The sequence below is a fragment of the Homo sapiens genome, chromosome 15 (genome assembly GCF_000001405.40).
Source record: "Homo sapiens chromosome 15, GRCh38.p14 Primary Assembly".
Taxonomy (NCBI): domain Eukaryota; kingdom Metazoa; phylum Chordata; class Mammalia; order Primates; family Hominidae; genus Homo; species Homo sapiens.
This window is the reverse complement of record NC_000015.10, coordinates 27,017,574-27,042,157: the sequence shown is the minus strand read 5'-3', so window position 1 is coordinate 27,042,157 and position 24,584 is coordinate 27,017,574. Positions and strand designations below refer to the sequence as shown.

Sequence of the window (24,584 nt, the reverse complement as noted above, 5' to 3'; positions counted from 1 at the left end):
GGGCAGCCGCTTGCATCCAGCCAGACCACAGTATCCTGTGTCCTCACACGCAGCTCTGTCCTTTGGAGAACCTCGTTCACTGAGGTCAGCCTGGGCTCCCTGCCTTAGTTTCCACTGAAGAAATCAAATCACACAAAACAAGGCCTAAAAGAGGAGACCTGCATTGCACGTAGAACAGGAATGTTTGGAAGGATGCCACCCTTCCTTCATCTGCATGAAGACCTCTCAGAGGTCTCATCCCCCACCTCAAGTACCAGAACACCTCAACCAGGGAGGGACGGCAAAGTCCTCCCCCTGCAGGACCCGAAGTCCTGGGACTGATGGCACCTCTCCTCTTGCTGTGTCTTCCTGGAGGCTTAGAGAGGAGTTCAGAGCTCAAACTGCATGCTGGTAGGATCACCTGGCCAACACATCTGGTGACCAGACACATGCAGAAAGTCAAAGACACAAGATCAAAGATGATTCCAAGTGTTTCTGGCTTTGATGATTGGCAAATGTAGTACATGAACACACTACGAATAATATGGAAACCAAAAAGGGAAAGTTTATTTAGAATAAGTTAGGATGTTCAATTAAGAATTTACTGAGTGAGAAGTATTTACTGGATAGCCACACCATGAGATCTAGGAAGATGGTAGAAATTATGTCTGCAGCATAGGTTTAAAAAGGTTTAGGTTGGCTGGGCGTGGTGGCTCACACCTGTAATCCCAGCACTTTGAGAGGCCAAGGCAGGAAGATGCTTGAGCTCAGGAGTTTGAGACCAGCTGGGCAACATGGGAAAACCCTGCCTCTATCAAAAATACAAAAATTAGCTGAGAATGGTGGTGTGTGCCTGTGGTCCCAGCTACTTGGGAGGCTGAGGTAAGAAGATCGCTTGAGTCTGGGAGGAGGAGGTTGCAATGAGCCAAGATTGCACCTCTGTGCTCCAGCCTGGGTGACACAGAGAGACCCTGCCTCAAAAAAAGTTTACGTTAAAAAGCACACATAAACTAAACAAGATGCAAAAATTATAGGAGTTTTATAATAAGCATTGTGAATGGTGCATATACCATCTAAATTTGTCTCTTTTCAGTGGTTTTTGGTTCATTCGACATTGCAAAAGAGAGAAAAAAATTTCAGTAAATATGGTCCACAAATGCTGTTTGAATGTTGGATATTGGAAGAGGTTTCTCCCCGCACGAGCACACCTCACAGAGAGGCCAGAGCCTACTCTTCACAGAAACAGGGTCTTGCTCATCAGTTTTATCATGATAGAGTCGTTCAGAACAATTTCAGAAGAAGAAAGGAGAACCAACTTCATATGGTCCCTTCTTATCTCATGTAAATTCCTTTCCAATGCTTAAACCTTAATTGCTTTCCTCATTTAAATGTCTTTCTCAAAATCTCTAACGTGTAACTTTGCAGCCAAAAAAGAGAGAAAAGAGAAAGGAAAACAGTATTTTAATACTTTCTTTGATAACTCTAATTCATTTTCCCTGCACAGTTCCAAGGACGCTTCTATCTTTAGACTGCTGTATTATGAGAGAGGATGGGAGAAATGAGAGCATCAAGAAACAAAAGGTGAGTGATTGCAAATCACTGGCAAAATTAATTGTTGGTAGGAAATTTTAAAAGACTTTCTTCTGTATTATAAAATCAAATTTTCCTTTTGTGTCACAGACTCATGGAATCATAGGACATTCATCTTGGATGAGACCAGAGAGGCCAACCCATGTGTGTATTTCCCCACCCCATCCAACCCCCAGCAACTCACTCTCCTCTGGACACACCCAGTGACTTGGGAGCAGTCAGCTATGCCCTATGGGAAGCACAGGAGCTGCCTGCCTGCTTGCAACGACCAGCCATTTGATTTGCCTGCTCTGTACCCTGGCTGCATCTCAAGGGCTCTTCAAGGGACAAAGAAGTTACAGTCAGATTGGTTTCTGTGGACGGAAGCCTGGCAGCTCAGCACCTGTCATGGGCCACCCCGAACACAGCAAGTGGAAATGCGTCCTCTGGACCCCCACCTGCCTGGGACACTCACCTCATCCTGACAGGCCCAGCCCTTCTCTGCCATCCCGTGCTGCGAGGCACCACCAACTGCCAAGGTGTGGGCTGAAGGGCAGCGGCCCAGGCCAATGGAGACTTGGGGAAGGTAAGGAAAGGAGAACCAAGAATTAAGTGGGATGGAGGGAGCAGAAAAGAGAAGAAGTGTCCCAGCAAGGAGGAACTTCCTGGGAAGATGAAATAAGAGGCAGATTCTCCTCGGTGAGTGGTTGCATAAGTCTAGGGCAGCTCCATAGTAAGATTCCAGGGGCAATAGGGGTGGATGGAACATCAACGCAACCTCAATGGCGGACCGCGGGGTGACAGCGAGGGGTGCCTCCTGCACACCGACAGGGTCTGGTATTTACTTTAGCACAGGCCTCAGGAATACAGTTCTGCCTCATAAAAGACTAGGGAATGCTGACAAAAGAAAGTTCTGTGCTTTCCTGACAACTGCATGCACTGTCAGGAAACAGTGGGTCCTACTTAGAGTTGAGTTGGAAAATGGATTTGGGGGCTGAAGAATCAAATGATGCTGTGAAGCACTCTCTTTGTGGCGTCTTCATAACACTTCATGCTTGTGGAGCTGGCAGTCACTGGATTCAGCTTCCTCCCAATGCAGGGATTCCTTACACACAACTGCTGAGCAGCATGCAGGGACCTAAGGCCACTCCGTGGTGCAGCCGGCTAAGAAATGACAGGGCCACCAGGCCGGCTGCACTCCTGTACCTTCCTCTCTTATTCAGTGCAGGAAGCCCAGTGTTCCTGTAGCAGGCAGCCCCATGGTCTAGCTCAGTCTAGCTCCACATCCTGTCCTCAATGTGACAAAGATCCTGTGCTTGGCCAGTCTTTAGTCAGGCCCTGATCCTTCTCCTAGGCCCATTAGCAAGAACCCCAGCTAAGTCAGTCTGGCAAGAATTCCCCACAGAAACATGCTGACATGCTGACCTGCCTTCAGCAGGAAACCCTTTAGGCTGGTTTGGCCAGAACTGCCCGCAGACTTGGCGTCTCCTCTGAGTAACTTTACACCCACTGACCCTCTGCTCCTTGGCCATCAGTGCCCACTCGTCCCCGTTGTACTTGTAACGGAGCCCAACCCAGCTCTTCACTGGAGTCTTTTTTGCAATAGTCCTGAATAAAATGTGCCATCACTGATTTGATTTCTGCTGGCTCTGCTTTTCTTTGATAAGGCGCCACCTTGCTCATGGCACACATCTCCTCAGGCTCCACCCGGGAGGGGAGAGTGGCACACCTTTCCCTCTCTCAGGAGATCAGTTTCTTCCTGACAGTTCTTTGCTGACATTCCCATGGCTGAGCTCCAGCTCTTCTGCTGTCACTCTGACATCCCCAACTCCCCAACACACTTGCCCCCTACCCTCTGCCTTTCTGGGGCGGGGCTCCCTGCACCCCTGAGAGGCCACACTGCATGGTTCCCATGTGCCCCAGGCCCCAAGAGCTTGGTTGGTCCTGGAGAATATGAGGAGGTCATTCACAAAGTGGGAAAGATATCGACACAGTCTGTGCCACTTTCCCAGCTTTTCAGGCTCTGCCAACCCTAACACAGGGAAGGGAAGCCGGTGGTGTCCAGGAGAAGAGCGTGGTGCCAGGGAAGAGTGTGGTGAGCAGCACCAGTGTCCACAGGTGGTGGGCACACCTACCACGGGACAGGAGAGGCAAGAAACTCATCAAACTCCCAGCCTCAGAATTTGATGCCTCAAAAGAATGCCTGGGTTTGGGGAGTAATAAGACCTTGGTACAGAATGACATGACTGAGAGACCATGCAGACATGAAGGAAGGTCGTCCTTCACATTTATGTCCCCTGCACCATGTGACGACACACAGAAAGTACCACAGAAGCAGAGAGCAGCCCTCACCATACGCTGCACCTGCCAGCACCTTGATCTTGGACTTCCCAGTCTTAGACTTGGACTTCCCAGTCTTAGACTTGTGTGCAATAAATGTCTGCAGTATGTAAACTACCCAGTCTAAGGTATTTGTTACAGTGGCCAACCGGACTGAGATGGGGCTGTTCTGGGACTAGTTACGGAGCATGGACCAGGACCCGATCGGGACAGCTCTCGACCTTGCTAAGCAGCTGCACACAGAGGGATGCTGCAGGCTCTTCCCTGCATCTGCTGGCCAGAGCCTGGCTGGGACCCTGCATGCTGGGGACGGGGTGAGGGCAAGGGTGAAATGCAGCCTCCCAGGCAAGCAGCAAGTTGGTGGCATGTGGAAAGTAGGAATCTGACAGAGCAGGAGCACCATGATCTTGGACAAACACTGTCACTTTAAACTCCAGCTCCCTTTCTAGACTCCTTCATTTCAAGGAAATCACTTCTCTTCTAACTACCAGCAGCCAGAAAGAGCAGACAGTAAAACACAGATAAGACAGCTCGGGCACAGAAGGAGGTGGGAGGAAAGTCTCTTGCGTAACTGCCAAACTTTGCCCTCATCCAATGGGCCCCAGTAAAACAGTGGCCCTTAATAAGCACCTTCCTTTTCCTTCAGGTGTACTAAGATAGGGAAGCTAAAAGCAGACTCAGGGGATATGCCTGCAGCTGCAGAAAGATGTATGGGAAGAGACACACAACTCTCCCTCCCAGATAAGCACAACAAAGAGGCACAGAAGCAGTCCAAGACTCTGATAAACTCTCCCACCCTGAATCCTTACAAACTCTTAGTCTATAAGACAGAGTGCCTCTGACCTAACTTAGCCAGTCGACCCTCTCAGGTTTATTGAAAATAAACCTGTCCCTGTTGACTGTCGAGCCACCCTTTGTGTTTCTCTCCTGTTTCTTCAATTCTTACAGAATCTCTTATATATGGACAGGACCTGCGAAATGTAGGCTAGGCCTGTGTTAGTGCTAGTGCTGGGCTGCTACGGTAATGCAGCACCACTGCCCGGGGCTCACACAACAAATGTGTTTTCTCTCCGGGTTCTGGAAGGTGGAAGGCCGAGATCAAGGTGTCAGCAGGGCTGGTGCTCTCTGGGGGCTGTGAGGGAGAAGCTGCTCCAGGGCTCTGCCCTGGCTTCTGGTATTTGCTGGTATCTTTGGTGTTCCTTGGCTTATAGAGGATCACCCTGATCTCTGTCTCCTTCTTCACCTGGTGTTCTCCCTGTGAGTGTGTGAGTCGTTTCCAAATCTCCCTTCTTCATAAGGACATCAGTCATACTGCAGTAGGGGCCACCCTTCTCCAGAATGATCTTAATAAATTACATCTGCAATGACTCTATTTCCAAATAAAGTCACATTCTAAGGAACTGGAGGATGAGACTCAACGTATACCTTTTGTGGGGGACATAATTCAACATATGAAAGGCTCCATCAACAAGATTCATAGCTGTATTCTACTGTCTCCAAGGAACTGAGGTCAAGGAAGGCTGGCCTTTCAACCCCTCACATAGTCAGTGTACAGCATTATTAGTATTATTATTATTTTTGAGATGGAGTCTTGTTCTGTCGCCCAGCCTGCAGCGTAATGGTGCAATCTCAGCTCACTGCAACCTCTGCCTCCCAGGTTCAAGCGATTCTCCTGCCTCAGCCTCCTGAGTAGCTGGGATTACAGGTGCATGCCACAAAGCCCAGCTAATTTTTGTATTTCTAGTAGAGACGGTATTTCACCATGTTGGTCAGGCTGGTCTCCAACTCCTGACCTCATGATCCGCCCGCCTCAGCTTCCCAAGTCCTGGGATTATAGGCATGAGCCACCGCGCCCGGCCGGCATCTGAAAGTGAAACACGTTACACAATTTCCCTGCTTACTACCTTGCATAGGCTTCTTCCAGAGCCCAGAACAAAACGCAGGCCCCTCACACTGGTCTGCAGGGCTCCCCTGTGATCTGGCGCCTAGGAGCTCTCATGTCGAAGCTTCCTCCCCTCTCCTGCCCGGCCCAAATTCTATAAAGGAAACCTTCACGGGGTGGCCACACCCAGGAGTTTAATTTCTTTATAAAACTGTCCACAATTTGAAATAACAGTGTGCATATTTGTTTATTCGATGTCTTACCTCAAATAAACTGAAGCCTCATGAACACCACAGCTTTATTAATTCCGTTCACTGCTGTGTTCCCATTACCTGCTTCAGCATCTTGCACATAGCAGGTGCTCAGCCATATTTATTGGATTAGCAAATGCTGTTAGGATGTGAGTCACCCTTGACTTCTCCCACTGTCTTGGAGGTTATATTTCTCAAATCCACAGCCTCTTCTGCAGCCCACTGCAAATCTTCAGACTCAGAACTCACCATTTCTCACCCTGGAATTTCACATTTCCCCTCACATCTGTGTAACTCAGCCTTTCCAGCCCCCACCGCCATTCTCCACAGTGCTGCCCAAGGGGCTTCTGTGAAAGATGCACATCAGCACCCACCATAGGGCCCATAACAGTGCCTCGTCCTGTCCTTCCCCAATCCTGCTGTCCACGCACACTCAGCTGTGGCAAGCTCCACGTGGCTCCCTGTCTCTAGGCAAGTGGGGCCTGTGCGGGGGCTTGCAGCAAACCTGTCAAGGTAAAGCGGGAGAGTTTCTTCAAATGTGCTAATAGGGGGCCCAACCCAACAGCCCCACCTTTTCACAAAAGGAGTTTTGTGGAACATAAAGACGGTGCTCTTGTCAGAGGGACATTATGTAGCTCACATTGTGAAGAATGAGGAAAATCAATTGTGAAATATCCAATCGAAGTGCAAAAGTTCAAGATGAAAGGAAAATAAGAAGCTATTCACACATTTGAAGGAGTCAGTGCATGAGATCGCTGCTAACAAAGATCCGGTGTCTTATCATGATTACCGACATCTCAGTGTCCCTAAATCACTGAAAAGTTACCATTCATTCCTACAATAGACAACACCCCATCCTACCAGGTGGCATCTCTAATGACATTTTGTATAAAATGGTGACAAGTTCTAAGACACCAGAGGACAGAGAAAAGAGGACACAGAGTGTGAGTTTAAAATTAAGCAGTTTTACATGTCAGACATGCCTTTTAGCCAAGCCCACCTGGGTTCTCTTCTTCTTCCAGGGATGGAGACATGTGCGTGGTGGTCCTTTCATCTTCCAGATGGACGGCCTATGAACTCTCAGAGGCGTCTCCTAAGCTGCGTTGCTCCATTACCTGTGAGTTCAGGTGCTGACAGCCATGGCCTCATAGGTTTAATGTCAGGATTACATCCTCAAAACAACAGAAGCCCTGGACACAGTGTTAGCTAAGACTACTGGAGCAAAAGAAGCCTATTAACTAAGGAAATTGTGAACTGAAGACAGTAGTGTACAGGCATGTAGAGCAGGATGTGTTCACACACAAAAACAGACTAGCAGGCATGCACGTGAGAGGCAGAGGGAGATAAGGACTGTTATCCATTCACTCACTTGACACATATTTACAAGGGCCTCTGGACTGGATGATTGGGGTAAGTAAGTGACCAAAAAGACATGTGGGCCTTGGTCCAGGGCTCATGGGCATCTGCCACACAAGACTCGATGGATCTCAGGCTCGAAAGCCTTTAAGTGTCATCTTCTTTTTTGTTCTTGGAGATTTTTTTTTTAATTTGCAGAGATCATTCCCACAAAGCTTGTGTGGCTCCTCCAGGCTATTCTCTATTGTTTTACTTACTAACATGTATACCTTAAATATTATTGTTCCTATTGTTATTAGTGTGGAAAGAGTTATTCTTCCAGTGATGAAACAAATCTTGAACACACACACTTAATGTGCAAAGGTATTATTTTTCACTTCTTTTTTTAAATAAAACAAAACAAATAAATAACACACTGACCACGTGGCCATGGGCAGACTTCTTAATTTGCCCCAACATAAAATGAGAGCATTAAGAGAACTGGCCCTGAGTTACATGCGTGGCCTGAATCTTCAGTGATGGACTATTCTCTAACTCTGCAGAAAGAGGACAACAGGAGATCCACAAAGCCAGAGCAGTTGTATGCTTTTCGAGAATAGAAAACATCAAATTAAGGCATCAATACAGGCATATACGTTTTCATACAGGGTAAGTTGTGTATGCTTTTCATATGGAGAAGTCATGGTGAGTTAGATGGTATCCCTCACATTTTAAGGTGGATGACAATGATCTGGAGATCCTGTTAAAATGCAGATTCTGATTCAAGGAGATCTGGGGTTTGGCATGATTCTCTGCATTTCTAAGAAGCTTGCCAGTAATGCCAATTCCTCAGGTCCAAAGGCCATGAACACTGAGGGGAGAATTCACGGATGACATAAAACTGAAAGTGTCACAAAATTTACAGGTTGTAATACAATAGCAAGAATAGCAACAAACAATCCTTTTGAACATTTACTATATACTATATTAATGCATAAAACCACAAAAAAATCTACGACAGCAATAAAATTTTTTCATTTTTCAAGTGGAAAATGAAATATTGTTCATTTTATAAAATAATATTAAAACCACATATAAGACCATCATCCTCTTAAACAACTGAAAAGGGCCACATGCTTTTTTTCATCTAAAGCTAATATTGCTAAAAGAAATACATAATTCGTATCCTTTAGTGTCGTTCAAAGCATCATTATTTTATAGAAAAAACCTGAAAACAATGGACCCTAGAAAATCCTCTTATTCGCTAACCTGAAGGCAGTTCAGGAGGTTACCAAAGCAACAACAAAAATCTCCCAGTCAGATTGTATCTGCTTTGACTCTGCTCCAACTTACTTCCTTGCTAGCTATCCAGAATCAATCCTTATTACACCTAAACTTAAATTTCCAAATCAAGGATGCATGGCTAGGATGGGATACCTTGCAGTAGACTGGCACCCTCACTAAGAGCAAGCGAGAAAGCTAAGCAAAAATCCATCTGAAGAAGCCAAAACAGAGGCAGCAGGCTCACCATGGTAAACATTTCCTGCACGCCACTTCCCCCGAGAACTTGTCTTCTGCTGACAGGGCACGTAATGTGAAAACCTGGACAGAGAGAATAAAGAACCCGGGAGAGCTTGAGGGAAAAACTGGCCAAGAAGTCAAAAAAGGAGGGGCCACAATTTCAGGGAATATGAATGTCAGAGAAGAAAGCCAACCAATACTGGTTATCTCCTCGACACATTTACTGACTAAGTTGTACAACATAAGAGGTTAAAAAACAATTGTAAAAATGGCTTAAAAAGAAGGGCTGTATTTTCAGCCATTTTTTGGTGTTGACACATTCCAGGCCCTCAGTTGGGACCTCTGGGGAACGATGCAGAAAGGCAGGGGAACCAGAGTCCAGTGGAGCCTCTGCAAGACTGCAGGTCAGCCCCATGCCAGCTCAGACCTACAGAGAGGCAAGGGAAAAACCACTCAATGCCTCTACAAATCTTTGTACACAATGAAAATTGCCAGGTGATATGGTTTAGATGTTTCATCCCCTCCAAATCTCATGTTAAAATGTGATTCCCTTGTTGGATGTGGGGTTTGGTGGGAGGTGTTTGCATCATAGACATGGATCCCTCATGAATGGCTTAGTGCTGTGCTCATGGTAATGAGTGAGTTCTCACTGTTAGTTCACAAGAGATCTGGTTGTTTAAAAGAGGCTGGCACCTCCTCCCTCTCTCTCTTGCTCCCTCTCACCATTGACAAGCTGGCTCCCCCTTCACCTCTGCCATGATTGGAAGCTTCCTGAGGCTCTCATCAGAAGCAGATGCTGGTGCCACGCTTGTACAGCCAGCAGAACTGTGAACCAAATAAACCTCTTTTCTTTATAAATTACCCAGTCTCAGATATTCCTTTACAGCAATACAAACAGACTAATACATCAGGCATACCAAGTAATAGAAAGAAGCAAGAAAACAGACATTAGAAATGGAACCAGAGATGGCAGAAGGGACTTCATGGTTAATGTGTTCCAGAAAACAGATTGCAAGATGGAGAATCGCACCAGAGAACTAACATACGTTAGAAAGAATCAAATTAAAATTTTCGAACTGAAAACATAATAACTGAAATCAAGAACTCAATAGACAGCTTTAAAACATCACAGAACAGAGATGAAGAGTGACTTCATATGCCAAAAGATGGAGTGCAAAGGAAGAAATAAAAAACAGCACAAGCATAAAAGCAAGTGGGACCTGGGAGAAGCATGTAACCTTCACATGAGCAGAGTCCTAGAACGGTGCCAAAACAATATTTAAGAAATAATGGCCACTCTTTTTCAAACACTGCTGAAAGTTATCGAACTACAGATGCAAAAACTGCTATGAACTTTACGCAGGAGAAATGCAAAGAAAAACCAAACAAGGTCAGGAGCACCACGGTGCTTCAGCTGTCACTTATTTTAAACTTTCCTGAGCTTAGATGACTCCAAAAGAGTTCCACAAAGCAATAGATCATCCTCCAGTAATGACCAAATGGAATTTACCTTCCACAGGCCCTAATCAGGACTTGGTATCCTGACTTCACTTCTTAAAGCTTCAGCCACAAGTGGAATGGAGCAGAGATAGGGTTGAGAGGCCTCATGTGTTCTTTATGATTTCTCTGGCTGCATGTCATCTTTTCAGTTTTAAATGTGTAGGTGATCTATCATATAGTATAATTTGGTGATGTTGGACCTGTCCCACAATCCACAGAGCCATCCCATCAATTTCTGGTAACACATGGTCACGCTATAGTCACATTACAGTGGCTCGCTACAAGTCTTAGATTTCCTCAGATGAATTGGTATCAGTACTTTTTAAAACGAAGGAAAAAAAGCCATCCTACAAGGTTGACTATTGTATAATTTGAAGTATGTGACACTTAGGAAAAAGCAAAACTATGGAAACAGTAAAAATATCAGTGGTTGCCAGCGTCTGGGGATAGGAAGGGATAAACAGGTGGAGCACAGAGGATTTAAGGGCAGTGCCACTGTTCTTAAGATACTATAGTGGCAGATACATGGCATTAGACATTTGTCGAAATCCATAAAATAAACAACACCAAGAGTGAATCCTAATGTAAGCCATAGGCTTTGCATGATAAAGATGGATTAAGGTGCATTCATTCATTGTAACAAATACAATACACTAATGCAAGATGTTAATAATAATGTGTTATGTGTTGTATGTGTGTGTGTGTGTGTGTGTGTGTCTGTGTGTGTGTAGAGGAAAATATATAGGGGAACTCTACTTTCTGCTCAATTTTTATGTAAACCTAAAAATGCTCAAAAAATTTATTAATTTAATTCTTTTAAAAAACACAGAAAAGTAATCCTAACACTGAGCCTTTTGTGTCTATGTTAAGGCTGTGGCCCTACAGGTATGTACAGCTGCTGTGTGTCCATATTGACTAGGAAACAAAGCCAGGGCTTTGTTGCCAAGCAGGTCACACTCAGAACCTTGCTCTAAGATGTCTTCCACAAGCTTCCACTTACTGGACTCAAACAAGCAGGAAGGTCAATATCTTCTCCACTATGGTCTTGTGAAGATTAAAGGATTTGGGGTCAATAGCACAGAGTGTCAGAACATTGGTTTTCTTCTTTGCTTTCCTAAAAGGCTGCTTGAAGTGGATATTCTCAAAAATAAACTCACAAGCCCCCTTGCATGCAGCTTTCCTGGTGTGGAAACAAACCACACACACTTTCTTTGATGAATGCTACACATTTAGGTATGTTGCAGCGACAAAGGCAGAGGATGCTGTGAAAGCTTCATGTAGAGGAACATTCCCCTGGTCCCGTTTCTAATCTCGATAACTAGAAAAAGCATAAACAGCTCCAGGATAAACAAGACAAAGATAATCTATTAAACAATAGATTGAGACACAACTTCATTTCCACTCCACAGAAGGAATGGCTGAGGCAGAATCTTCAGTGTTAATAATATCAATAAAAGGCAGAAAGTGTGAAAGAAGGAGGAGGAAGAAGAGGAAGGAGAAAGTGAAATAGTCATTGTTCCCTGTTTCATTGATTGTTAAATGACTATTTGGACAAGAAGCCATAATTTTACCAGGCTTTACCTTTACGGTCAAACCCCCAATACAAATTTACATCCTTAAACCCTGTCTGCATCTCTAAATTGTGCTTCTTCTCATCTTGTATTCTTTGATTGTTTTAGTCTTTCTTATATCCTTTTTTATTGCTAACTCAATCCCCAATACCCACCTACACCGTCAGTTCTCTACTTTAAAATTTCTATTATTTTTCCTAAGATCTGTGTTTCATTTTTAAGCCCTTTACTTCTTTTAAAATTGCGTCGTTTGGTTGCACAGATATAGCGGGTCTATGTGATGCACTCGGCAATGTGAGATGCCCTTATCATTCTGGCGTCCCAGCAAAGCATTCCCAGCACAAAGGTAAGAAACACTCATTCTTCCAGAAGTGGTCCCCGAGGCCCCTGCCTCCTGAGGGCTTTGAAACTTCCCTCAGGCCAGCCAGAGCCTGCCAGCTCGGGGCTGCTTAGAAGGGAACCTACCTCCACTGTGGCACTCAGCTCATCCACAGACTTGCCCCACCAAAGCAGGCCTTGGTTCCTCGTGTCTCACCTTCACCCAGGACAATGCCTCACACTAGTCGGATGGCAAATGTGCGTGAAGGAACAGAGAGAGACACACAGCAACTCACCCAAGGAGAACATGGGAATTAAACATATAAATGTGCGTGTGTGTGCGTGTGTGTGCGCCTGTATGTGTGCGTGTGATGCATGTGTGCACACGTACGTGTGTGCCTGTGTGTGTGCACGAGTGTGTGCATGTGTGCATGCGTGTGTGTGTGTGTGTGTGCATTTTAAACAAATCCTTGCCTGCCCTCTATGCTTTGCTGAGCCGAGGTAGGCTAGTAGTACGTTGTGTCTTCCTCAGGAAATCAGACTCCAGAATGGCCTAGACAGTGCCATCCCTGCTGAGCGCTGACTGCGGCCTCGGCGCTGTTTGCAGAGGAAAGCACTTGCTAGCATTCGGCTTCCCCAGGGCTGCGTGCCAGCTGCTTCCAACTCACACAGCAGCAGGCAGCCACACAGGCTCCCCACCCCTTCAGTAGGGTAGAGAGCCATGCTAGAAAGAAAACCAACTGGACTAAGTGAAGTTTCAAAATATTCAGGGCAAGTTTTACAAATGAGAGAGTTAATAGAAAATAGCTTTCTACTCCACATCCTGCCACAGCTCAGCCTTGGAAACCTGCTGTGTCAGCCTCCAGATGAGCAGGATGCTGGTGCACACGTGTTCTTCTCCAGGGCCCAGGGCTTACAATGCCCCCGGCCATTCTAAGGTCGTTTCTCACCCCACAGGGAAGGATCAGAGTTCATGATTTCAAGTCCCTAATGTGAGCTCTGCATCATCATGTAGTTTTTGTTTTTTTTCAGGGAGAGAGGGGTCTGACTAGCGATCTTACTGGATTTTTTTTTTTTTTTTTTTTTGAGATGAAGTCTAGCTCTGTCACCCAGGCTGGAGTGCAGTGGCTCAATCTTGGCTCACTGCAACCTCCGCCTCCTGGATTCAAGCGATTCTTCTGCCTCAGCCTCTCGAGTAGCTGAGACTACAGGCGCCTGCCACCATGCCCAGCTGATTTTTTATATTTTTAGTAGAGTCAGGGTTTCATCACGTTGACCAGGCTGGTCTCGAACTCCTGACCTTGTGATCTGCCTGCCTCAGCCTCCCAAAGTGCTGGGATTACAGGCGTGAGCCACTGTGCCCGGCCTGGATTTGAACAAATCTCATGAAATATGACCTGCTCAGATCTCTGATGGGAAAAGGTTTTCACAGTTTCCAAACGCAGGGATCTGTTTTGGATGAAGAGAAGGCTGAGGTCCGACCCTTAACTGCAGCTTCAGGGCCTTGGTCACAGCTGCCCCCATGTGCCCCTCCAGGCATCTCTCCACACATCACTCCCTCGTCCCCAGCTGTGTGACGCACTCTGTCCTCCTGTGTTACTAAGGACCTTCAAACTTTATCCCACCTAGCACACTCTTGCCTATCCGTCAAGTTTCAGATGAAGAGGACCTCACTGGAGAAGTCCCTTCCACTCCTGCAGCAGGGCCGTATCACCGTGAAGGAGCCTGTCACTCACTCGGCCTCCTTCTCTGCAGCCCGTGATTTCCACATGAAAATTCCCGTCTATTCCAATAACAAAGCCTAACACGAGGCACAAAGTAAATTCTAAAGTTAAAGGCCTGCAGGAAAATCCCTCTATATGCAAATGCAATTGACTTCCTGAAATAATTCTGTAACCATATATCCAGGAAGGCACTTCTTCTTTGAGTGTTAGACATAAACACATGTTAGACGTAAAGGTGTTGAATAAACGGTTGTGGAACAAATGCAAGAAAATAAAACTCCAGAACAAGAAACATACATAAGAAAGGGTTACTCTGAGCAGTCAACTGAATAATGATGTATCAGGAAAAGGGAATATTACACTCACAACTTGATTTTAATATACAGCCATCTGCAGCACATAGGTTGTGTGAAATAATTCTCCTTTATTCATTCCACTTCTTTGCTCCAGTTTAGGGATGATATGGAGATTTTTTAAGTGAATCACCCACAAATATAACTTTACCCCTGCATGGAACCCTTATATCACCAGAGAAAAGAACACTTTTAAAATCTGGCAATGAAAAGAAACGATTTTGCTACTAATTTTGGAGGGGTTATTTCCATCCACAGAACACTGCAATGAAAAGAAGAAATTTAAGTCAGCATTTTGGCAATTCCCCTCCCTCGGCCTCACGTCTCCCCAAATCAGGAGCAAATGTGCAGCAGGGAGCACAGGCAGGACCTCCGCAGGCGGGGGGAGCTCCTGACAATGCTTGAGGCTGCAATAGACAGGCCTGCTTGGGGATCCTAGGTAGTCCTGTTAACCCCTTGCTGGCAGGTGGACTGTGGCCTTCAGCCCACCACAGAAGGCTCTCACCCTAACGTATTTCAATACCCCCACACTCACTTCATAGCCAGGCACTTTTGCACAGGGAAGGGCTTCTTTCACATCCAATAGTTCTTGAGCTGAATTTGCTTATAAGCCTGTGGGAATACCCTACTCGGGGAAAGCACATATTTGATCCCATACTAAAAAGCAGAGGCAGTTTATTTACTCTCAAAGTCCAAACTGAAGACAAAAGTATAATCTGAGTGATCTCGAATCCTTTCCTAAGAAACACTATAAAAGACAGGTCTCTTGGATGTTGAAAGAAGAAACTAAAAGTGGAAATGCTACTACCATCACAAGCTATCTTTCTTCATTTTTTTTTTTACCATTTTCAATATTCCAATAAGTGTTACAGATTTAAGAAGTCAGTGTGAGTTTTAAACCGGCATGATAAATCTCAAACAGAAATCCACAATGAGAATGTAACAAGAAGAGGTGCAACAGCCGTTAGATCAGAAAATAAAGGAGCTTCTTACCATGTTTATTGATGACACAGGACCAATGCTGTTAACATAAATGTCAACGTCAATTACGGTCGGTTTTACTGTGGAGAAAAATACATGTATGTTAATACTTCGTGCCGGAGAAAGACAGAGGAGAGCACATTCAAGTCCTAAAGTCTCATACATAGCATCACAAGGACATGGTGGAAACACACATGAGCAGGGCTTTCTTTGGGACTTCTCTTGTAATTATAATTCAAGCCCTGCCTGCCTTTCTTTTCAAAATTCTCGAAGGATGAGAGATTCTTACTTGTATCTTTTCAGTTCTATCTAGGAAAATAGAATATTTATACACTGCAATTTGCCAGTCATAGAAGACTATAAAGATATACCGTAACGTTACTTAAGCTGATTTTTATGGCAAAGATAGGAGATACAAGGTGAGCTACTGCATGAGTAATTTAATGTCAAAGTTTTGCTATAAAACTCAACACAAGAGAGGAGCAATGTCAGTGACGTTGTTGGGTTATGTGTCCACCACATAGCTGTCAAGCTATCCTTCCAAAGCAAAGCAACTCAAGGCAAAGTTCTAGTGAGTCTATACACCAATAAAAAATGAGAAATATTATTTATTGTTATCAATATAACTTAAAGATACATATATGCACATACATCACAGAGTTTAAATCCAACTCAAAACACAATGGAATGTTAATAAGTCAAAGAATTACTGTTTCAACTATGAAGGCATAACATTTATATAATCACAGGTTGATCTCTCTAACGCCGTATGTCAGAGGCTACCCTGGCTCACTTGGCTTTAAGGGAAACCAGTTTCTCTTTTGATGGCAGCAAAAGAACTGAGCAAGCCTGATAATGAGACAGCTGAGCCCACGGACCTCTGAGTCGGGGGCTGATGTCCTCTGAAAGGAGGACATTCCCTTCACCCTGCACTCAGTGGCTGACAAAGGATGACGCAGAGCCAATTCCAGAAAATTTCTGCCCAGGAGGAATATGAACAAGACTCCTGAACCTTTCCCCATGAAACAGACTGTTTCTATAGAAACAAGAGTGTAGTCTATGCAATTATGTGAATGTGCTTCCTTCAATTGTGCTGAAGAACTGAACATTCACAAATGGAATTCCACACTCTACTTTTGAAACAATGAATGGCAGCTCTGAGCTCTCGGTCTCGTAAAATTGCACATAAACTGGTCTGTGCCCTGGGCAACGATCCCCAGACCTTCACGTAATGAAAACAATGATAATGACTTTGAACCAACTCCTACAACGTCTGTCAGTACAGCCAAGTCACGTGAGCTGCAAGAGCAGCTGGCATTTTGGAAAATGCCCCAACACAATTCCATGCACTATGTATATGGTGCTTAAGTTTCATAAAAGGAGTACTCTTCATTTTAGACTAAGCTTTGCTAACTACTATGGAAATTAGGTAGCATCTTTCTTCAAATTATTGGATTCAACAAGTGTTCCATCTCCAAATACTGCAGAACCTTTGATTATGCTATACCAAAGGGTGTTAAGTCAGTTGGTTAAGGACCTACATTTAGTGAGAGAGATTTCTGGTTGTTTCATACAACTTATTAGACTTTGGGCTTCCAGAGATTTGTATATCATTAAATAAAAAGAACCAACAAACATAAAGCCTTAACAGCTTGCAGTGAGCAGCGGCAAATGTAATAAGTGCAACAGTGCCATGAAGGGTGTAAGAGATAAGAGTTTGCAATAAGTGTGCGCACACACACACACACTCACAAAATGCCAAGGAAAATGAAGCGCTTTTAGTAGATGCTTTTTTTTTTTTTTTTTTTTGAGACAGGGTCTTGCTTTGTCTCCCATGGTGGAGTGCAATGGCGCAATCTCAGCTCACGGCAACCTCTGCCTCCCGGTTCAAGCGATTCTCCTGACTCAGCCTCCCAAATAGCTGGGATTACAGGCGCCTGCCACCACGCCCAGCTAATTTTGTATTTTTAGTAGAGACGGGGTTTCACCATGTTAGCCAGGTTGGTCTTGAACTCCTGACCTCAGGTGATCTGCCCACCCCAGCCTCCCAAAGTGCTGGGAATACAGGCATGAGCCACTGTGCCCGGCCAGTAGATGCTCTTTTAAGCAGTCATGCTAACGTAATTGAAGCATTAGAATAGTGGCTCTGACAGTAGAATCCAAGAAGGAGATTGGCCACAGGCAGCTGAAGGTTTATAATTCAAAGACTCAAGACTAAACCCTGACAAATGATCTTTCACAAAGTTGCCAAGACCATTCAATGAGGGAACGGACAGTCTTTTCAACCAACAGTGCTAGGAAAACTGGATATCCACAGGCAAAAGAATGAAGTTGGACCCTTACCTTATGCCATAAACAAACATTAACTCAAAATGGACTTGAGACCTAACTGTAAGGCCTAAAACTACAAAACTATCAGAAGAAAACACGGCGGAAAGCTTCCTGACATTGGATTTAACAACAATCTCTTGGATATAACACCAGAACATCAGGCAACAAAAGAAAAATAAATGAATTTGACTATAACAAAATTTAAAACTTCTGTGCATATAGGGCACAACAGAGTGAAAAGACAACCCATTGAGTGGGAGAAAATATTTGTAAATTGTATCTCTGATAAGTGGTTAATATCCAGAATACATAAAGAACTCCCAGAACTCAACAACAAAAACAAACTAACCTGATTTAAATGGCAAAAAAACGTAAATAGACATTTCCCCCAAGAAGATATACAAGCAGACAATAAGCACATGAAAACATCATTAGTTATTAGGGAAATGCAAATCAAAACCACAAAATAACACTCACACCCATTCGGATGGCTACTATTAAAAACAAACAAACACAACAATAACAGCAACAGAAAATAACAAGTGCCAGCCTGGATATGAAGAAATTGTAATCCTTGTGCACTGTTTGTGGGAAGAAAAATGATATACCCACTGTGGAAAATAGTAGGATGATTCCTCAAAAAACTAAAAATACAATTACCATATGATCCAGTAGTTCCACTTCTGGGTATACACCCAAAGGAATTAAAAGGAGGGGCTCAAACAGATTGAATAGCTATGCTAATATTATTCACAGTAGCCAAAAGGTAGAAACAGTTCAAGTGCTCATCGACAAATGAATGGATTTAAAAAATGTAGTATACATAGACAATGGAATATTATTTTGCCTTAAAGAGGAAGGATATCGTGATACGTGCCACAACATGGATAAACCTTGAGGACATTATGCTAAGTGAAATAAGATAGTCACAAAAGAGCAAATACTATGATTCCACTTATATAAGCCTTCTACGGCACTCAAACTCATAGAGACAGAAAGTACAATGTTGGTTTCCAGGGACTGGGGAAGGGGAAATGGGAGTTGTTTAATGGGTACAGAGTTTTAGGTCTGCAAGATGAAAAGAGTTCTGGAGATGGATGGTGGTGGTGGCTACAAAGCAATATGAACAGACCTACTGCCACTCAACTGTACATTTAACAATGGTTAAGATGGCAAATTTCATGTTATGTGTATTTTACTACAATATAATAAGCCCTATGTAGCCAAGAGAAAGATGGGGATATGAAGGTAGGAAAGCCAGAAATGGGGTGGTGGGGAGCAATTTTCTGAGTGAAAGAAAGCAGATTCTATTTTTTAAAAGAAATAGGAATATTTTAAAATAGGGATGATGGAACTGAGTCCCATACATTCGGTTTAAAATGGATTCTTCCTTTGAATTCTACCTTACTTATCTGGTTGCTATTATTTCCTAAGAATTGAGAATTAGTATGTCTGAGAAGAATCATAAACTCATAAGTTGTGCAGCATATGTGAACCTTGCAAAGATCCGCCAGCTAAGCCTCAACAAGCATCAGCCACATTTGCTCCGTTGATGGATTGAGGTGGTCCTAAGGGGAGTACATGGGCTGCCTTTTCTCTTTGCCTCTGTCACAACACTAAAGCAGACCTTTGCTTGGTTGTTTTTCTCCACTCTCCATGGCCGTCTTCATCCTGGAAGAAGCCAGTGAGGAGAGCTTGGTGGAGGGCTATTTGAACTATCATGATGAGCTGAGGAGACAGCCCCAGTGGGAAGGGGGACCTGACAGCAGCCTTGCTGGGGAAGGAATGCAGGGCCGGGCGGGTCTGTCTGTGGATGCACCTAGAGCCACGTACCAAAAACTAGGGGTGAGCAGATGCTTTGCCTTGCTTATTGTGGACGTTAAAGGAATCCTGTCATGGTCAAAAGGAAATAAATTGTATTTTATTTGAAGAAAGTTCCCGACATCAATTCCTTTGGGACTTGACAGGTAAAATCACATTTAATATAGTACAAGATTCCTGCTAAACTCGCCTCAGCCCCTCTCCTGATGATCTTCATATGGTAATAAGTGTCTCATTTTGCTAACTTTGATAGTTCCTTATTTGGCCCTGGGCCCCCTGAGGTGGGCACAGATGTTATTTAATAAGTCAGGTGGGTTAATAAGCAAGTTGTGTCCTTCTAAAATGGGGTTAATTCCTGGCATGATTCATAAGAAGAAGAGAAGAAGCCTGGCTGATCTGATTCTAGATGTTCTCCTAACTTTTCCAGCGTGAAGTGGCAAGTTGTATTGAGCTGGCTTCTCAAAACCCCAAGAAGTTTCTCTCTAAAACCAGACTTATGACAGCATGATTTACTTTAGAAAAATTGAGGAGAGGGGGAAGAAAAGGGTAGAAAAAAAGACAGAGAAATTGTGCTTGGCTCAGCATGCGTTCATAGGGCATGGGTTCTGCAGTCATCTACCAGGGGAAGGTGGCAGGGCAGGAAGGCATCCCAGAGGAATGAGCCTATGGATTTACACAGAGCCCCAGAGCATGGAGGTGGCAGGCATCCAGGGCCACAAGGACCAGTATTCATAGTCACTTAGTTCTTTCTGAGTTGAGTCTTTTGATTAATATCTCTTACAAAAGATAGTTCTCATGCAAATTTTTAAACTTATTGTATTTTATTACTTATTTATTTTGAGGCAGGGTCTTGCTCTGTTGCCCACGCTGGAGTGCAGTGGTGCAATCATGGCTCGCTGCAGCCTGGACCTCCTGGGCTTAGGCAATCCTCTCATCTCAGCCTCCTAAGTAACTAGGACTACAGGCACACACCAACATATCAGGCTAATTTTTTAATTTTTTTTGTAGAAATAGAGTCTCGCTATGTTGCCCAGGCTGGTCTTGAACTTCCAGATTCAAACAGCCTTCCCGCTTGGGCCTCCCAAAGTGCTGGGATTCCAGGTGTAAGCCACTGGACTCAGCCACTCACATAAATTTCGAGTAAGTGTCTGGGGTCTTTTAGGGAAATTAACTTAACATACAGTAGTGGAGAAGAAAAGATGTATTTCCTTTCTCTGAATCCCTACCTTGTATGATTACTTCCTACTTTTAGGTCATGGGCACCTTTTAGCACCCTCAACAAGAAAAGCTGGTCATTGGAAGGCAGGTCTGTGTGATTTACCCTCACCCTTCCCACAGCATCTGGCACTGTAGGTGACCCCTGGATGTTGCATAACTATGGTTCGTAAAAATTGCAGTTGTAAAGTTATAATTACTTAACTTTACATGTTAAATGCTCATGAGCTTGCCAATTGCAACACGAAAAAATATGTTCTTTTCTCTTTTAATTTTTTTTATTGATACATAACAGATGTACATATTTTTAGGACACGTGTTAATTTAATACATTTATATAGTCTATAAAGATCAAATCAGTGTCATTGGAATATCCATTGCCTTAAATATTTGTCTTTTCTTTGTGCTAGGAACATCTGAATTATTCCTTTTCAGTTATTTTGAAATATACAATAGATTATTATAAACAACAGTCACCTTACCGATTACCTAGCACTGTCTTACTTTTGAAAGAGAATAATTTTTAAATGTCCCCTAGAACATGATGACGATTACAAGCTGACCCAAGTAGTCAAGCGGGAAAAGAGCTGATAAAAGATCGTCTGAGACAAAGATGTTCCTAAAAATAATCATCTGTTACAACAAAAATTATATCACCTCCATGGAGAGGAAAAAGTAGAGAGTGACATCGCGAGAGCAAATGAAACCATGAACATTCATTCAAAAACAAGCGAGAGATAGAAAACAACAGGCCGGGCGCGGTGGCTCAAGCCGGTAATCCCAGCACTTTGGGAGGCAGAGGGGGGCGGATCACGAGGTCGGGAGATCGAGACCATCCTGGCTAACACAGTGAAACCCCGTCTCTGCTAAAAATACAAAAAAAAAAAATTAGCCGGGCGTGGTGGCGGGCGCCTGTAGTCCCAGCTACTCAGGAGGCTGAGGCAGGAGAATGGCGTGAACCCAGGAGGCGGAGCTTGCAGTGAGCCGAGATAGCGCCACTGCACTCCAGCCTGGGCGAAAGAGCGAGACTCCGTCTCAAAAACAAAGAGATAGAAAACAACAGAAACAGAGATTCCAACAGAAGAGCTACAGGACCAATAGGTGTTGACAAGGACAAAAAGGTGGAGGGGGAAGAGGTCGAGGTGTTTACAGCTGTCCATGCAAGGGAATCCCTAAAGAGCTGCCCCACACCAGCAGTGAGGATGAGGCATGCAGACCCTGAGGAATTCTGAGCAGACGTGTCAAGTGAGGGGACATGCCCATGGAGGGTGCGGCCTGACTGCAGGGGGGCTCAGCTGCTCACCAGCTCTATCATCTCGAAAAGTTTCTTCAGATCTCTGTGCCTCAGTTCCCCTACGTGGAAGAGAGGCTGAAAACAGAACCTAATTCAAGATGAGAGTGGAGGGCCGGGCTGTTAACGCAGTAAATAGTGGGTGCTCAGTAAATTTTTAGCTATGGTTGTTAAGGCCCCTGGAATTAAACGCAGAATAGAATGCCAAAATATTGCATTTGCTGCCTTTCAAATAATGTTTATGCTTAAAAATCACCCTAGGCACTTAAGTTTCTATGTTTTCATGAAAAGAGTAAAAATGACGTAATTATTTAAATATCAGCACATGAATTTTCAGAAGATGAATAAATAACATTAACTCTCATGCCCCCAACGCATAAGAGGCTCTTCCAATAACTGGGAACCTCCCTTCCATCTTTCCTGCTTTTGGGGACAAGGGTGGGGAACGGGGGCTCATCTGTCCCTTTCCTTTCCCTAAACTAAGAGTCCCACTGAACACAATGATGTATTAGGCAGAGGATCCCCTACACCCCATCACCAACCTTCCTTCAGTTCTGCCTTCTCTCCCTCTGCTAATGTCCACAGATGAAGGATGATAAGATTTATTACATGGCACTGTCATAAGCAGTTTGCATTTAATCAGTATGCAGTAGCATTCCTGTTCCCATTTTACAGAGAGGAAGTTAAAATAGGAGTGAGGAGTGACTTAACTGGGATTCTGCAGCTTCACCAAAGCAGAGAATCCGGGGTTCCACCCTCAACCTCCCGGAGTTTCTATTTTGGTAGTGAGGCTTCAAGAGACTCTAGGCTGGGCGCGGTGGCTCATGCCTGTAATCCCAGCACTTTGGGAGGCCAAGGCGGGGGGATCACGAGGTCAGGAGATTGAGACCATCCTGGCTAACATGGTGAAACCCCGTCTCTACTAAAAATACAAAAAAAATTAGCCAGGCGTGGTGGCGGGCGCCTGTAGTCCCAGCTGCTCGGGAGGCTGAGGCAGGAGAATGGCGTGAACCCGGGAGGCAGAGCTTGCAGTGAGCCCAGATCGCACCACAGCACTCCAGCCGGGGTGACAGAGCAAGACTCCATCTCAAAAAAAAAAAAAAAAAAAAAAAAAAAAAAAGACTCTAGGGAACAAATACTTCAATGGGATTAGTACTGTTTTTTACCATCATCATCATGATTATCGTGACAAATAATCTTTCAAGAATTTTTTAAACACAAATTCCCTGTCTCTGAGGATTATATTAAACCTATCCACAGCATCTCAGTGAAGATTTGTTTTCAAATGCTTTTTTTCTAACTTGGAGAATACTATTATGGGGACTAAGTGGAAGAATTTGGGTAAAAGGTACATGGGATAAGCAAACTTGGTCAATATTGCAGTTTTGCCAATACTCTGAGTCCATGCAAAAATGTTTTCTATAACTTAGTATTGAAGCCCTGAGACGGTAAAGTCACTATCACAGGTCCCATTCCAGCTCAGTTAAGGTCCAATTTGGCCAATTTACTTGGCTCAGACCCTTAAATATAAGGTTTACAGCTAATTCCATTTCCATTAATCCCAGAACTATAGATGTCAACTCCAAAGCCCTCACTCCTTTCCCAAACACCCTTTAAATATGTGATCTCAAGAAGGCCAGCAAGAGTTGACAAAGATAAAGATAAGGTTATTGTCATTTCACTGTGGGTCAGATATGATAAGTAACAGGGAAGGAGGCAAACAGTGACATTCTACATTTTTGCACATTCATATAAAATATACTATTAAAAGACCTTGAGAATTCCTATTCTTAAAAGAATAAAAACACTGGTGTTAAGTTCAGAACCACAAATCCTTCAGAGCTCTGATGGGTAGGTACTCGAAAGCTCAGATCTAAATTTCCACCTCCTGAAAGGATTTGATGATAAGAATATAAGAGAATTGAGGAAGGCATCTGCCAAGTCTAGTAATGTTATAAATTTGACTCTGAAGTAGCCATATGGCCTTGAGAAAGTCACTTAAATTTGATGGGGCTCATTTTCTCCATCTATAAACTGAATATTTGAAGTAAGTTCTCTTTCCAAACATGAATTCTGTTCGTTATAACAGGAAAGATAAGTTTTTAACAACTCCCTTCATAATAGCAGCTTCTCCCTTCCACCATCTGGCAGGGAATGCAGAACTGCACTGACCAGCAGAGCTGTGAGTTCAGAGCAGATGTGAAGGGCTAACTGCACTATGCCTTTAATAAAGAGGGCACTGAGGATGGTATGAAAATCCTCAGTGCTTGACAAACCTCACTGTACCTGAGTGACATGAACAAAGTGACACCAGCAAGATGGCAGAGTAGAAAGCCCCAGACCCTACTTTCCATGTGAAGCTACTGACTTAACCACACGATACAGACCAACTGCCTCTGTGAGAAATCTAGAATACAATTCAGAGGTCTCTGCAGCACCCCTGGCCAGTGCAAAGCCAGCCACACAGAAGTCCCCGTAGGAAAATTCTTGGCACACAACGTGCCAGAGTGCCTCCCGCCAAGTACCACAGGGTGTGTTCAGAACATTCCCAACTTCTCCCTGAGGAAAGAAAGAAAAGAGTAGGATATTTTCAACATTCCGA

General features: G+C 44.1%; 1 protein-coding gene and 1 long non-coding RNA gene across 3 annotated transcripts in view, besides 3 other annotated features; one reads left to right on the top strand and one right to left on the bottom strand.

Annotated features, from left to right (window-relative positions):
* The window catches only part of LOC124903449 (uncharacterized), a 33,128-nt gene extending 29,948 nt beyond the window's left edge, over positions 1 to 3,180 (top strand). The window contains exons 3-4 of the long non-coding RNA XR_007064545.1: positions 1,484 to 1,560; positions 1,660 to 3,180. This is a non-coding gene — a long non-coding RNA (uncharacterized LOC124903449). The remainder of the gene's footprint in view (positions 1 to 1,483; positions 1,561 to 1,659) is intronic.
* GABRG3 (gamma-aminobutyric acid type A receptor subunit gamma3) overlaps positions 1 to 24,584 on the bottom strand; it is a 570,804-nt gene that overhangs the window by 499,827 nt on the left and 46,393 nt on the right. For both annotated transcript variants that reach the window (NM_033223.5, NM_001270873.2), the window contains exon 3: positions 15,337 to 15,404. In NM_033223.5, the coding sequence (NP_150092.2) occupies positions 15,337 to 15,404 (68 nt within the window). The remainder of the gene's footprint in view (positions 1 to 15,336; positions 15,405 to 24,584) is intronic.
* Positions 1,529 to 2,028: an enhancer, noted in NCBI's record as "H3K4me1 hESC enhancer chr15:27285277-27285776 (GRCh37/hg19 assembly coordinates)". NCBI's record gives its function as "activates a minimal SCP1, AML or CMV promoter by ChIP-STARR-seq in naive H9 embryonic stem cells {active_cell/tissue: H9 hESC(naive)}" and the evidence as "EXISTENCE:reporter gene assay evidence [ECO:0000049][PMID:30033119]".
* Positions 2,029 to 2,530: an enhancer, noted in NCBI's record as "H3K4me1 hESC enhancer chr15:27284775-27285276 (GRCh37/hg19 assembly coordinates)". NCBI's record gives its function as "activates a minimal SCP1, AML or CMV promoter by ChIP-STARR-seq in naive H9 embryonic stem cells {active_cell/tissue: H9 hESC(naive)}" and the evidence as "EXISTENCE:reporter gene assay evidence [ECO:0000049][PMID:30033119]".
* Positions 19,770 to 20,271: an enhancer, noted in NCBI's record as "OCT4-NANOG hESC enhancer chr15:27267034-27267535 (GRCh37/hg19 assembly coordinates)". NCBI's record gives its function as "activates a minimal SCP1, AML or CMV promoter by ChIP-STARR-seq in naive H9 embryonic stem cells {active_cell/tissue: H9 hESC(naive)}" and the evidence as "EXISTENCE:reporter gene assay evidence [ECO:0000049][PMID:30033119]".